This window comes from Homo sapiens, chromosome 2 (assembly GCF_000001405.40).
Source record: "Homo sapiens chromosome 2, GRCh38.p14 Primary Assembly".
Classification (NCBI taxonomy): Eukaryota; Metazoa; Chordata; class Mammalia; order Primates; family Hominidae; genus Homo; species Homo sapiens.
The window spans coordinates 201,680,650-201,694,853 of record NC_000002.12 but is presented as its reverse complement, the minus strand read 5'-3'; the positions used below and the strand labels follow the sequence as shown (position 1 = coordinate 201,694,853).

The window sequence follows — 14,204 nt, the reverse complement described above, 5'->3', positions numbered from 1 at the left end:
TTGCCCAGAAGTTGGAGACCAGCCTGGGCAACATAGTGAGACCCCATCTCTACAAGAAGTTAAAAATTAGCCGAGTGTGGTGGCACATGCCTATGGTCCCAGATACTCAAGAGGCTGAGGTAGCAGGATGATTTGAACCTAAGAGGTCGAGGGTGCATGATCATGAGCCATGATCATGCCACCACACTTCAGCCTAAGCAACAGAGTGAGACCCTGTCTCAAAAAAAAAAAAAAAAAAAAAAAAAGGGAAAAAGAAAACTGTCCAGACTCTATACAAATTGTAGGATTGAGCCAGGAAAGCACTCTAGAAACAAAACAAAACAACAGATCGTTACAGTGTTGTCTCTAAATTCCAAGAGTGTGCCTCAGTAATAACCCATAATTCTTGCAACTGTGACCAGACCAGCTAGTTCTTCTATGAAGAACTATAAGGTGCAATGAGAGGAAATGGGGCACCTGAGTGGAGCTGGTCCACGCAAGACTTTTCTGAGCTCTAATGATGGGTAAAGTCAACTGGGTAAAGAGGTGGAAGATAAATAAATATAGTATTTGTCATTTACTTCTAAAAAGTGGGTAGGTGTGGTTTCTAGGAAATCAATTCTTCTGAAAGGCTAAAAAATGTGTTTAAAACATGGAGTTAGGGGGAGCATTTTATGCAATAGTCGTTTTCTCTTTCACGCCACTGGTGATGGTTAAGAGTAGGCACCACAGGGGAAGACTGTGTTTCATTTGATGTGTATCCCAGTGTGTAGCACAGGGCCTGGCTTGCTGAGGAAATGCTATTGAAAATATATTCCAGTGTGCTGAGAGCTGGTGGCCAGTGGGACTGAGTGAGCTGTGTGCCGTGTATTGACCCGCTTCCTAGTCCTGAATTCCTTTCAGAAGCTCCGGCAGGGAGGATGATACAGTCAGACAAAGGAGCAGATCCACCAGACAAGAAGGACATGAAGCTTTCTACAGCCACCAATCCACAGAATGGTATGTGTCACCAGGACTCCTTTTCTAGACCAGAAAGTAATATCACCTCTGACATGTGATCAAATGAATAGGCAGAAATCCTGACAGACTTACTGTGATCCCTATGAGGATCTTGTACATTTTTGGTTGCACTACTGCCCTACCAGTGATAACTTTAAGAACAAATTTCAAGCCAGGAAGGAAATAAATGGACATGATGGATTCAAAACCTTTTTTTCCCTTACCTGACAATGTTTTATGTAAAACTTAGAACTTCTTAAGTTGTTCACATTCAGAATATCACTACAACACTGTGAAAATACTGTCAAAAAATAGAATATTCACTAAAATCTGTTTAGAGACCCTTTAATCAGGAGAATACTGAGCTTTGCATTAAATCTATTGGGAGTTAGAATTTTTCAATATCACTCTCAATAAGAATTTTTTGAGAGGATGAAATGACTCTTATGTTTGAGTTAGAGAAAGAGGATACAGAACACAAGTAGATAATTTTGGGATAAACGACAGGCTGGTAAGATGGGGGAGGGGAAAGCAATCATTTTCCTTTCATGACATCTTACATCTGCACATCACGATCTATTATTTTACTCAGTGTTAAGAACAACACTATGACAAAGCTAGCACCTTCTCATCTTGGGCAAAGAAACTGGGTTTCGGATAGCTATGTGACTTTGTGACGTTCACAAAGTAAGAGGTGGAACAGGGCTTGAAGTCAGATCTTTTGGCCTGAGATCCAGTGTCATTTCCACTCCTGGTGAGACCCCATGGCATGCCCCAGCTATCTGAGTTGCCTTTCACATTTACACCCGCACCTGCCACCCCATCTCTGCTCTCTTCCTTTCCTAGGCCTCTCCCAGATCCTGAGGCTTGTGCTGCAAGAGCTGAGTCTGTTCTACGGCAGAGATGTGAATGGAGTGTGTCTCTTGTACGATCTCCTCCACTCGCCGTGGCTTCAGGCTCTGCTAAAGGTGAGTGCTTCTTTGCTCGGAAGCCTTTGCTTGCTGAAGGGGTTGTGGGGAGTGTGTAGAAAATGACAGCTTCAGTCCATTCAGGCTGGATAGTGGAATAGTTTATAAACAACAGAAATTGATATCTCACAGTTCTGTAGGCCAGGAAGTCCAAAATCCAGTCGGCAGCAGATTCAGTGTCTTTTGAGGGCTCCCTCTCTGGTTCCTAAATGGTAACTTCTTGCTATGTCCTCACATAATGGAAGGGGCTAGCCAGCTCTCTTGGGGTCTCTTGTATAAGGGCATTAATTCCATATTCATGAGGGCAGAGCCCTGATGACCTATCGGCTCCCAAAGACCTTACCTATTTTTTTTTTTTTTTTTTGAGACAGAGTCTCACTCTGTTGCCCAGGCTGGAATGCGCTGGCCTGATCTCAACTCACTGCAACCTCCGCCTCCCAGCTTCAAGCGATTCTCCTGCCTCAGCCTCCTGAGTAGCTGGGATTACAGGCACCCACCACCACACTTGGCTCATTTTTGTAGTTTTAATAGAGATGGGGTTTCACCATGTTGGCCAGGCTGGTCTCAAACTCCTGACCTCAGGTGATCCGTCCGGCTCAGCTTCCCAAAGTGCTGGGATTACAGGCATGAGCCACCACACCCAGCTAGCCTTACCTTTTAATATCATCACATATGCATTTTGGAAGTACACATTCAGATCATAGCAACTACTTACCCAATGGTGTCATTTATCAACTGGTAGGAAATTTCAACTTGGAAAAAGTTCTTAGAAGGCAACTCTCAGAGAAGAGCTACACAAACTTCTTCGCTTAGGAAGGAATTAACTTAGGTGGAGGAGAATATGGTAGTCCCTTCCTTTTCTCCCCACAGCTCTTTTTCTTCCAGAGGCCCCCTGGAATCACAAAACAGCCACCACGATGGTCATTGGCAACACTTTATCAGCTGGCTACAACCGTTTGTCCTTGCAGCAACCCTGGATAAATAAAAGTGCTTTAAAAAGTTATTCCTATTTGTTTGTTAAAGTTAGAAAGTAAAATATCTACAGTTCTGTTTAGGTACCCTGAAGTTTCTTATTCTAAAGTTTCTTCTGGCCCAGTGTGATGGTTCATGCCTGTAATCCCAACATTTTGGGAGGCCGAGGCTGGTGGATCACCTGAGGTCAGGAGGTTGAGACCAGCCTGGCCAACATGGCAAAACCCTGTCTCTACTAAAAATACAAAAAATTAGCCATATGCAGTGGCACGCACCTGTAATCTCAGCTACTCTGGAGGCTGAGGCACGAGAATTGCTTAAACCTGGGAGGCAGAGGTTGTAGTGAGCCAAGATTGAGCCACTGCACTCCAGCCTGTGTGACAGAGAGAGACTCCATCTCAAAATAAATAAATAAAATAGAATAAATAAAGTTTATTCTTTTTTAATTTGGCTAAAATTCCATGCACTATACAATAGCGTCTAATAGATAGTAGAAAAATAGCATCTACTATCTAGTAGATGCCACTACTATAATTTTGTTGTTCTGAACAAGTGTTATTATTAAGAGAGATCCTTTTGAAGTTATTTTTTGGGATGTGGGTATTTCCTTCACTTAAGTGTGAAATGTGGTCTGTCTTATAGTGCATGTTAATATTATACAATAAAAGTGGCAACATCTTTGGCATGAATGAAGTACTCCTCATAGCACCTGTTATAAAACACCTGATTTCTATCAGGCATTTTCCCACAGGATCAGCTAAGATAGGAGTTTTAATTTCATGATGGGCATTGCCTTTGCTCACCACTGCTAGGCCCTTGGTGAGTTATCCAATCAGCCTTCATCACTTCCAGGTAAACCTGAATGCGGGCCCTGGGATAGAGCAGGGAAGCAGCATCATCACTAATCTGGATAGAAAAGACTGGGGGCTCAGCCGGCCCCTTGGGCCTTATTTCTTCGTCTGTAAGAGAAACTCAATTCCTAAAATAAGATCAAGGGGTGCATTGCAGAGCTAGGCAGGCTTTGGTGTCCTCAGCCCAAACCTAGATCTTGGTATGGAAAAAAATTCCCAAGGGTATGTGGAGATGAAGTTGGAATTTTAAAAAATGAACTTGTACTAGAGAATTAGGAGAGGAATGGGAAACAGCCCCAAAGCACAAAGCAGAGTACAGAGAAGCGTTTGTGGCATGCCCACCACTTATTCAGAACCTTCAGTGGCCCTGAGCCACACAGCTCACATGCTGCACAGGCGCCCAACACAGGGGTCCTCACAGGTGTCTGGTCCTAAAGGGCCCCTCCTTTAAGACGCTCCTTTATGCATCATCTACAAATCCCCATTGGTTTCAGTCCCAGACACCCTACCCTCACTCTGTTTAACAAGATTAAAAGTTTGAATTTCTTTTTATTACTGAAATGCTTGGAGAAGATCAATTTCCCAATGGCAGCCAATAATTAAGCTTTTGAAGCATCGGGGCCACCAAACTCAAGTTCATTTCTCTTTGGCAACTAGAGACACAACTTACTAAACACCAACCACACCGTGCTGTGCAGCCATTGGTGCAGTTGCCTGGGGTGTTTCTTCTCTTTGAGAGTCTTAAATCCAAAATGGCAATAGTCATATTATCAATATCAATTCTCCCTCCCTTGTCCTTCTGCAGATTTATGACTGCCTCCAGGAATTTAAAGAAAAGAAACTAGTTCCTGCCACACCACATGCACAGGTGTTATCCTATGAGGTAAGGAGATTTTATTCCACAGGATAGTAGAGCTCTGATGTGGTGCCATTTTCCCCACATTGCTAGTTCAAATGAATTAAAGGTTCTAAGGAAAAGTTTTATTGATGACTATGCATCTAATAAATGTTTCTAATTGAACTTTAATATAAGGAAGAACATTGGCTGGGTATCTCCCCAAATTAAAACACTCCCCACCACCACCCACGTCATTTTTAGCGTGTGTTCATTTCTTTCTTTTTTCCTAAGTCTCGTACTCCATTTGCCCTTCATAAACAGGGTAATGTTATAGTAATAATTCTCGGATTTATATCTCTAGCCTGGAGATTTCCCTAAATTCCAGTCTCAAATATCCAACCGCCTCCTCTCCATCTCACTTGGATGTCTAACGGACTCCTCCAAGTTCACATGTTCCAAACTGAGCTCCCGATCTTCCCCACCTGCCGATCACCCCCACCCACTCTTCTGGAAGCCTTTTCTATCTCAGAAACGATACCTGTGTTCTTGCAGTGCTCAGGCCAGAATCTTAGGGGTCATTTCGACTCTCTTTTTCTGATACCTCACACCCAATCAGATAGCAAATCCTCTCAGCTCTACTTTCAAAATATATCCAGGATCTCACCAAAATATATCCAGGATCTCACCACCCCATACCATCATCATCATCTCTTACATAGATAGTTGCAAAATTGCCTCCTATCTGGTCTCCTGTGTCCACTCTTGCTCCTCTACAGTCTACTCTCAACACGGCAACCAAAAATACCCTCTTTGAAAGCAAGTCAAATCATGTCACTTCCTCACTAACACTCAAACCCTTCAAATGACTTCCCATCTCAGAGTAAACACCAAAGCTCTTTTTTTGTTTTGCTTTTTTGTTTTTGATACAGAGTCCTGGTCTTTCACCCAGACTACAGTGCAGTGGCATGATCTCTGCTCACTGCAACCTCTGCCTCCTGGGTTCAAGCAATTCTCGTGCCTCAGCCTCCTGAGTTGCTAGGACAACAGGAACCCACTACACCTGGCTAATTTCTGTATTTTGGGTAGAGACGGGGTTTCACCATTTTGGCCAGGCTGGTCTCAAACTCCTGACACTAAGCTATCTGCCCACCTTGGCCTCCCAAAGTGCTGGGATTACAGGTGTGAGCCACCACACCTGGCCTAAACACCAAAGTTCTTACATAGCTGAACACAATCAAGCTGCTGTTACCTCTTTGACTTCACACTCAATGCTTTCTCCATTCACTCTGTTCCAGCCACATTGACCCCTTGTTATTGTTTAAATTCATCAGGCTGGGTGCAGTAGCTCATGGCTATAATCCCAGCACTTTGGGAGCCTGAGGCAGGCTGATCACTTGAGCCCAGGAGTTCAAGACCAGCCTGGCCAACATAGCGAAACCCCATCTCCACTAAAAATACAACAACAACAAAAATTAGCTGGGCGTTGTGGTGCATGCCTGTAATCCCAGCTACTTGGGAGGCACGAAAATTGCTTGAACCCAGGAAGTAGAGGTTGCAGTGAGCCGAGATCACACCACTGCACTCCAACCTGGGTGACAGAGTGAGACTATCTCAAAAAACAAACAAACAAACCCAAAAAACAAATCATCAGGCATGCTTCTGCCTGGGGCCCTTTGCACTCGCCATTCCTTATGTCAGCAATGCTCTTGCCCAGATATATACCTGATCTGTCCCTCATCTCCTTCCAGTCTCCACTCAAATGCCACCTTCTCAGTGAGGCTTTTCCTGGTCACCTATCTAAAATTGTATTCCCTCCTAGCACTTCCTAGCCAGCTTCCCTGGTTTATTTTTCTTCTTAACACTTGTCACCATCAAACAAAACTATTTTACTTACACATTTCATTTGTTGTCTGTGTCTCCTCCCTAGAATGTAAACTCCATGAGAATGGAGATTTTTGTCAGCCACTGCTGTTTTTGCATCACCTAAAACAGTTCCTAGCACACAGTAGTGTTCAATAAATATTTGTCGAATGAATGAATAAATATAATCCATTTTATTATTTATTGCCCATCCCATATTAAAAGAAACAGCAAAAAAGAAAGAAAAAACTTCTGCTCTCAATTCCAGTAATCAACAATTCAAATTGTTCTCAGTTGTCCACAGGAAAAGCACATATATAATATTTTATTCAGTTGAAATCCCAGTGAATGGAGGTAAACCTTTGTAAACTGCTTGTTTTCATTTGACTGTAGGTAATGGGGCTGACTAAAGTCTTGAAAGGTCTTATGTCCTCTGAAAGCAGGTCTACGCCTAAACCACAGCAGAGAGAGCAGAATTTTTTTCCGCTTAGCACTTTTTATTGTAACAAGCATTAAAATTGCTAATCAACTGATACTCTAAAAGAGAAATTATGATTTCCATTTTCTATTTGAAGAATGGAGCATCCCATGGGATTAAGCTCTTTGAGTTCCCCAGGTACGTTCCTAGAGAAACTCATACAGCTTCATAAGCCTGCAAAGCATTGACATCAGCCAACAGCTATTATATTTTAGAGGCACTAGAGGAAAAGTGCCTTGGTTCATATGCTGTTACCAAATTGGTACATCCTCCATGCCTATGTGCCAGGATTGGGCATTGGGTTTAGATCCATCTCAACTCTTGAATTCTATTTGCTATATTAAAGTAGCAATTTTAATGAATAAAGAAGGATGGTAGGCTTTAATGGATGGCTTTATAGATGAAAAAGAAGGCTCCAGTAATAGCTTTTTAAAGGTCAATATCATGTTAGTATGTATGTTATCCAGCCTGGGTGAGGTTAAGTAGGTGATAAAGATTTTTTAAAATTTTTATAATGTATCCTTTTCCATGAACCAGGTAGTGGAGTTATTACGTGAAACCCCTACTTCCCCTGAGATCCAAGAGCTGAGACAAATGCTCCAGGCTCCACACTTCAAGGCAAGTGCCTGCTAAAATAGAAAAGATGTCCCCATCTGGCACATAGACAAAGTTGGGAAGGAGAAATATATGTGATGGAAAATGTTCTCTCTGAATAGATGTTCTATTACTGTACACGGTTACTGACCAACAGATTGTACTTAAATATGTGGGACTCAGATGTGACTAGCTCAGTGTTGTCAATCATGCAGTCAAGCCTGCTGTGTTTATGAGGAGGCATCCAGAACTTTCCATGGTGCTTTGTTTCCCCTACAAAGCTATTGCCCATCCAAAAATCTTGGGTAGCAAACAGGGAATGTTCTAGTTATAGAGGAATACCTCCATGCTTCCTTTCCAAAGTGGGACTATTTTGAGTTTTAGATAATGTGTGTGTATTTGGAATATACAGTATAATGATGATTATCCCTGTGAGAGGGTTTATGAAGAACATTTGATTGCAGAACAGAAACCTATCTCTTAGTACTTACAGATTTGAGACCAATTTATCAATAAATTAGAACTTTAAGACAATGTCTGTATTTGGAGTGCTGAAATTTATCAGTCAAAAGTTATAATTCACAACACAACCACCAGTCATCAAATATCCTCAACGGCACGCACTACTTAGAGAATTTTCTGAGTTCCAACTAAATTGTGTCTACCAATCTCAGTCAGGGTGGCAGAGTGACAGCTTCTCCAGCCCGTGAAATGAAGAATTTAACCTAGTGGACTAGTCAAAGAAACTCTTTGATCATACCCTATGATCATACCCTATGATCAAAGAGCTTGATCATATGAACTCCTCATTCTGTACCACATGAGCCCTTGAGTGTTACTAACAAATTAAACCAGCAAGATATTTTGATTGCTGCCCTTCGTTCTACCTTAATTGGGGAAAATATTATAAAAGTTGTTTTGTAGTTCAAACTCCACAGGGGCATCACAGATTACATGGGCTGCCAGGAAATAAGAATGTCGTGGCATAATACATTTTAGCAGAAATGAAAGAGTGTATTGTGCATTGCTTAACCTCTCTGTGCCTTATTTCCTTATCTGCAAATTGAGGACAATTAATGTACCTGCCTCATAGAATTATTGTGAAGATCGGATTAATTCATATAAAATGCTTCGCACTGTGTCTGGCATGTCTGTATTGGTGTTTGTTGTTGTTGCTGTGTCTTAGATAGTATTGAGTTACTATCTTCTAGAGGGGTTTGGCCCATGTGTGACATTTGCTCACCTTTTCCTTCCCTGTGCCCAGGCCTTGCTCAGTGCCCATGACACGATAGCTCAGAAAGATTTTGAACCCCTTCTCCCTCCACTGCCAGACAATATCCCTGAGAGTGAGGAAGCAATGAGGATTGTTTGTTTAGTGAAAAACCAACAGCCCCTGGTAAGGAAATCATTTTTTATCTTTCCATTTAGGGTAAGCTTAGGTTAATTGTGAACCAAATTATATCTAGTGGTTACTTGGGCAGTAGCCTTGCCTGCGATCACATATACAGTGATAATAACGGCTGTCAACTCTGCAAGTTTTGCCTGTGGTTTCAAACATATTACATGTCACGGTGTTTTCTCTAAGGAAAGATTTCAGCTTAGTGTTTTTCTTTTGTGAAAAGTAAGATGAGATTTATAAGACATTTTTGTGAGAAATAAGACATATGTTTTATTTTAATATTTGGCTTTCTGACCTATGCATGTATTTCCCTCAATTCCATTGCATTTGCCTATTTCCTTATATTAATGAGAAGCTAAGGAAGGCATTAATCTGATTTTCTAAGAACAGTCCCTCTAATTAGGTTTTAATTGTGGGAGGTTTCTGTATCTTTGGATGAATCTAAGTATTCTTTTATGTCTGTGTGGTTGAAATGAGACTCCAGGAAGCCAAAGCCGAATGGCCTTTCCTTTTTGATGGCATGCTATGACTGACAGGCCACAGGGCACTGTGTGGCCCCTCCGTCCCTGGTTGCCTGAATAGCCTTGTTTGAAAAACCAGAGCTGCATTGATTGAAAGACCAGAGCTGCATTGATTGAAAGACCAGAGCTGCATTGATTGAAAGACCAGAGCTGCATTGATTGAAAGACCAGAGCTGCATTGATTGAGGGAAGCCACCTGGAAAATGGTCATGTCAGGTAACAGAGGGATCTCGTCTATTCTCTCTTCAGGGAGCCACCATCAAGCGCCACGAGATGACAGGGGACATCTTGGTGGCCAGGATCATCCACGGTGGGCTGGCGGAGAGAAGTGGTAAGCTGGAGCAGCTGGGATTGAGAGTTACCAGAAAAACAGGAAACCCTTGACTGTTTAGGCTTCTTTCTAGAGAAATCCCTTTTTTTTCTTTTTTTTTTTCTTTTTTTTTTTTTGAGATGGAGTCTTGCTCTGTCGCCCAGGCTGGAGTGCAGTGGCGTGATCTCGGCTCACTGCAAGCTCCACCTCTGGGGTTTGCCATTCTCCTGCCTCAGCCTCCCAAGTAGCTGGGATTACAGGCGCCCGCCACCACGCCCGGCTAATTTTTTGTATTTTTAGTAGAGACGGGGTTTCACCGTGTTAGCCAGGATGGTCTCAATCTCCCGACCTCGTGATCCGCCCACCTCAGCCTCCCAAAGTGCTGGGACTATAGGCGTGAGCCACACACCCGTCCTGAGAAATCCCTCTTTCTTAACTTGGGTCAGGGCTTTAGTAAGTTCCATTTCTTGGATAAAGCAGTAAAGAAAGAAGAAACAAATATTCCAGAGAAATCTTACTCCTCTCCTTCACTGAGTCCTTCCCATTCTAGGTACCACATTAAAGTCTCTCAGTTTACATTCTCATGGCAACCTCAAAGGTAACTATTATCATGCCATTGTATAGATGAGGAAACTGAGGCTCAAAGAGATTATGAAACTAACTTGCTCAGAGTTACACCGTTTGAGTCAGGATTCAAGCTGCTTAGCTCTATATTCCCAACTTTTTCTCTGCACTTTGTCCTTCTACTTTCAGAAAGGCATAGCTCTTTCCCATCTTGAAATGCCTTTTGCTCACACTTTCAACCAGTTAACCAGATTTTCATCCTTTCACTGCTGTTCTTCTAAAAACTTTTTTTTTTTTTTTTTGAGACAGGGTCTTAATCTGTTGCTCAGGCTGGAGTGCAGGGGTATGATCATGACTCACTGTAGCCTCAACTTCCTGGGCTCAAGCAATCCTTCCACCTCAGCCCCCGAGTAGCTGGGTCCACTGGTGCACACTACCATGCCCAGCCAATTTTTCTATTTTATGTTTAGATAGGGTCTCACTATGTTGCCCAGGCTGGTGTCAACCTCCTGGGCTCAAGCAATCCTCCTGCCTTGGCCTCCCAGACTGTTGGGATTACAGGTATGAGCCACCACACCTGGCTACTGTTGTGCTTCTGAAATGAGTGGTTCTATACCTGTTATACATCTTCACTACCCCGAAGCCCTAAAACCTAGCACATGCTTTATACTTCAACATTCTCATTGTAAATACCAAGAATTTCCTAGTTGCTAAGTCCATTGGCCCTTCCTTCCTCCTCAGTTTTCTTTTCTTTTCTTTTTTTTTTTTTGAGACAGAGTCTCACTCTGTCACCTAGGCTGGAGTGCAGTAGGGCAATCACAGCTCATTGCAACCTCTGCCTCCCGAGTTCAAGCAATTCTCCTGCCTCAGCCTCCAAAGCAGCTGGGATTACAGGCATGTACCTCCACCCCCAGCTAATTTTTTTTGTATTTTTAGTACAGACAGAGTGTCATCAAGTTGGCAAGGCTGGTCTTGAACTTCTGGCCTCAAGTGGTCCACCTACCTTGGCCTCCCAAAGTGCTAGGATTATAGGCATTAGCCGCCATGCCTGGCCCTCCTCAGTTTTATTTTCACTTCTTGACCACATCTGATGCTGTTGACACCTTTCTTGAATTTTTTATCATGCTTCGTTTCTGTTCTATAACACCATTCCACTTCTTCTCTCAACTATCTGACAACTCCACTGTTTTACCTCACATTTCTCAAGTCTTCACTTAAACCCCAAGTTTCTCCACATTTTCTCTTTTGAATAATACCTACCCCATTTCCTTTTTGTTGTTGACTTATGACCCTGACATCTTTGGATTTAGTGCTATTTTCTTACCAGCGTTCTGGTTCCATTTTACAACATCAGACTAGCAAAAATAAAAATATGACCATAAGTCAATGCCAAGTATTTATGACGAGGTAGAAAAATGGACTGTTCACACATTTCTGGGGGTGATGTAAGTTGGAATAACCAGCTTTCTTTTCTATTATTATTTTATATTAAACATTTTTAGAGCATGCTTGGGTTAGTGAGTTAAATAGCTATCGAGGTAGCTACTGCTATTTTTATCCTACTTCTTTGTATCTTTCTTTGTTTTTTGTTACTGTCTGCCTAGGGTTGCTATATGCTGGAGACAAACTGGTAGAAGTGAATGGAGTTTCAGTTGAGGGACTGGACCCTGAACAAGTGATCCATATTCTGGTAAATCTTCTTTTTGCCTTTTTGTTAATGACTTGGAGAAATGCCAAGGCTGAACTGGGACCATCAAGCCCACGTGTGTGCACTGGGATGTACCGGGGACTCAAGTTCTCTTGGCAGCTTTCTCCCTCCAGGCTCCCAGACCTTGTCTGTCACCCATGTCACTTGCTGACCTCCCTCCTCTACCCCGAGAAGTTCTGGTCCTGGCTGGGAAACTTCCCGTCCCAAGCAGCTCCTTCCTCCTTCAGCCACGGGAAGACTGCCAGGGCCCCCAGCCCAGCTCCCTCATCACCTGGTTTGCTCCATTGGAAACTGAACCTGGGGTGGACAGAGTGAGACTTAGTAGGAGAGTCTGAACCCAAGCAAACCACTCCTTCCCCCACTAACACTTTTCTATGGCTGAAATGTTCAACATCTTCCTGGAGGGCAGCCTTTCTTATAGTGGATAGACCAGTGGTTCTCAAACTGGGTTCCTGCCAGGATTTCATAGCAGTGGCTTAGAGACTGAGGCGAGGAGTGGTGCTATGAGACAAGCACCTAAATCCTTTGTAAGCCACTGCTGCAAGATTCTGTGTGGTATAGAATGTGCTGCAAAGGAAGCTTGAAGTACTAGAAATCACAGATATGCATGGCTTCTACCCCCTGGTGCCAGCTGTGATGTTGCCGGGACAGTGGGATTTTGAAATTCCTGAGTACAAACGGGGTCTTAATCTCTAGATGTTTAATGCCCATCACAGTGTATGTAACAGGGGAATTCTTCCTTCCCCCGGTCTGAGAGCTCCCTATTTCCTCTATTAGTTTGGAAGGTTGTCAGTTCTCCCAGAAAACTTAGGAGCCCCTCTTCTTCCCCATCAGACTGGGGTATCTGGTGTAGAAACAGGCATTCAGGAAATGCTTACTGAGTAAGGGAATAAGGAGGGAAAGTCAGATGGAGATCCTGTCTCTCCCCAGGGCCTGTGTGAGGAAGACCTTGCTGGTGGGGTGTTTCTGTTTCAGTGTAGGGTGGGGGGGGGTCCCTGGAAGAGGCCACTTCAGTGTGGCTTTTAGCAGACCAGCGACCCCAGAACCACACAGCAGGGCAGATGCAGGGGTAAATTGCTTCCTGATTTCCATTTCTGGATGGTGACAGCTGCAGAGCCCTTGTGAAAGGCTCTTGGGGGATTTTACCATGAGACCTGGATACATTGCACTGTAACTCTGTCCACCGAGCCCCAGTAACCCTGCTAGCTCCATGATTGTCATCCTTTCTCCTCTCTTATTTTCCAGGCCATGTCTCGAGGCACAATCATGTTCAAGGTGGTTCCAGTCTCTGACCCTCCTGTGAATAGCCAGCAGATGGTAAGAATTTACTGAGCCTTCAATCTCACACACAGTAAATCCCCAAGTAACAGCAACTAAATATGATGCGTAATAATCCTATCCTTTGTACTGTGTTGGACCTGGATTCAAGACTGTGTTGGATATTTTTCAATACTGATGGCCCGAGAAGCAAAATAAGTAAATGAGTACAGTACAAGGAGATGGGATACTAAGAAGTCAAGAAGCAACATAAAAAATCATGAACATTTGAGCCTAAACTTCTCTAAGCTAAGAGATTCTGTTCCCAAAGATGCTTTTTATCATGGTACTTAGGCTCAGGAGGCGAGTTCTCCTTTTTGGTGAGGGTGGAGAGGAAAGATAGGAGTAGCAGGTGGAGGAGTGGGAGAAATGGTTTTAAGTCATGATGGCCCATGGGCAAGGGTTCTTCGGATGGCACCATTAGGCACCTTCTGATAGCGTCATTATGCACCTGCCATCAGGTGTACGTCCGTGCCATGACTGAGTACTGGCCCCAGGAGGATCCCGACATCCCCTGCATGGACGCTGGATTGCCTTTCCAGAAGGGGGACATCCTCCAGATTGTGGACCAGAATGATGCCCTCTGGTGGCAGGCCCGAAAAATCTCAGACCCTGCTACCTGCGCTGGGCTTGTCCCTTCTAACCACCTTCTGAAGAGGTAAGGAACGTCACCACTCCTGGACTCAGGGCTGAACCATCAGGAAACAAAATGTTTTTCTTGGGTTTCTGTTACCTCAAGATGAGATAAAGAGGGACAAGCAGATGAATGAACACACACACACTGGTTTATAAATCCAAATGTCAACTTATCGATAAACCCTAAGCATCTTAAATACCAAGGAGACG

The 14,204-nt window shown here is 43.4% G+C and overlaps 1 protein-coding gene across 2 annotated transcripts in view; it reads left to right on the top strand.

The window, feature by feature from the left end:
* Positions 1 to 14,204, top strand: part of MPP4 (MAGUK p55 scaffold protein 4) — a 53,771-nt gene that overhangs the window by 3,791 nt on the left and 35,776 nt on the right. For both annotated transcript variants that reach the window (NM_001438024.1, NM_033066.3), the window contains exons 2-10: positions 800 to 978; positions 1,825 to 1,946; positions 4,575 to 4,652; positions 7,483 to 7,563; positions 8,804 to 8,935; positions 9,709 to 9,790; positions 11,938 to 12,023; positions 13,287 to 13,358; positions 13,820 to 14,016. In NM_001438024.1, the coding sequence (NP_001424953.1) occupies positions 900 to 978; positions 1,825 to 1,946; positions 4,575 to 4,652; positions 7,483 to 7,563; positions 8,804 to 8,935; positions 9,709 to 9,790; positions 11,938 to 12,023; positions 13,287 to 13,358; positions 13,820 to 14,016 (929 nt within the window). In that variant the 5' untranslated portion in view covers positions 800 to 899. The remainder of the gene's footprint in view (positions 1 to 799; positions 979 to 1,824; positions 1,947 to 4,574; positions 4,653 to 7,482; positions 7,564 to 8,803; positions 8,936 to 9,708; positions 9,791 to 11,937; positions 12,024 to 13,286; positions 13,359 to 13,819; positions 14,017 to 14,204) is intronic.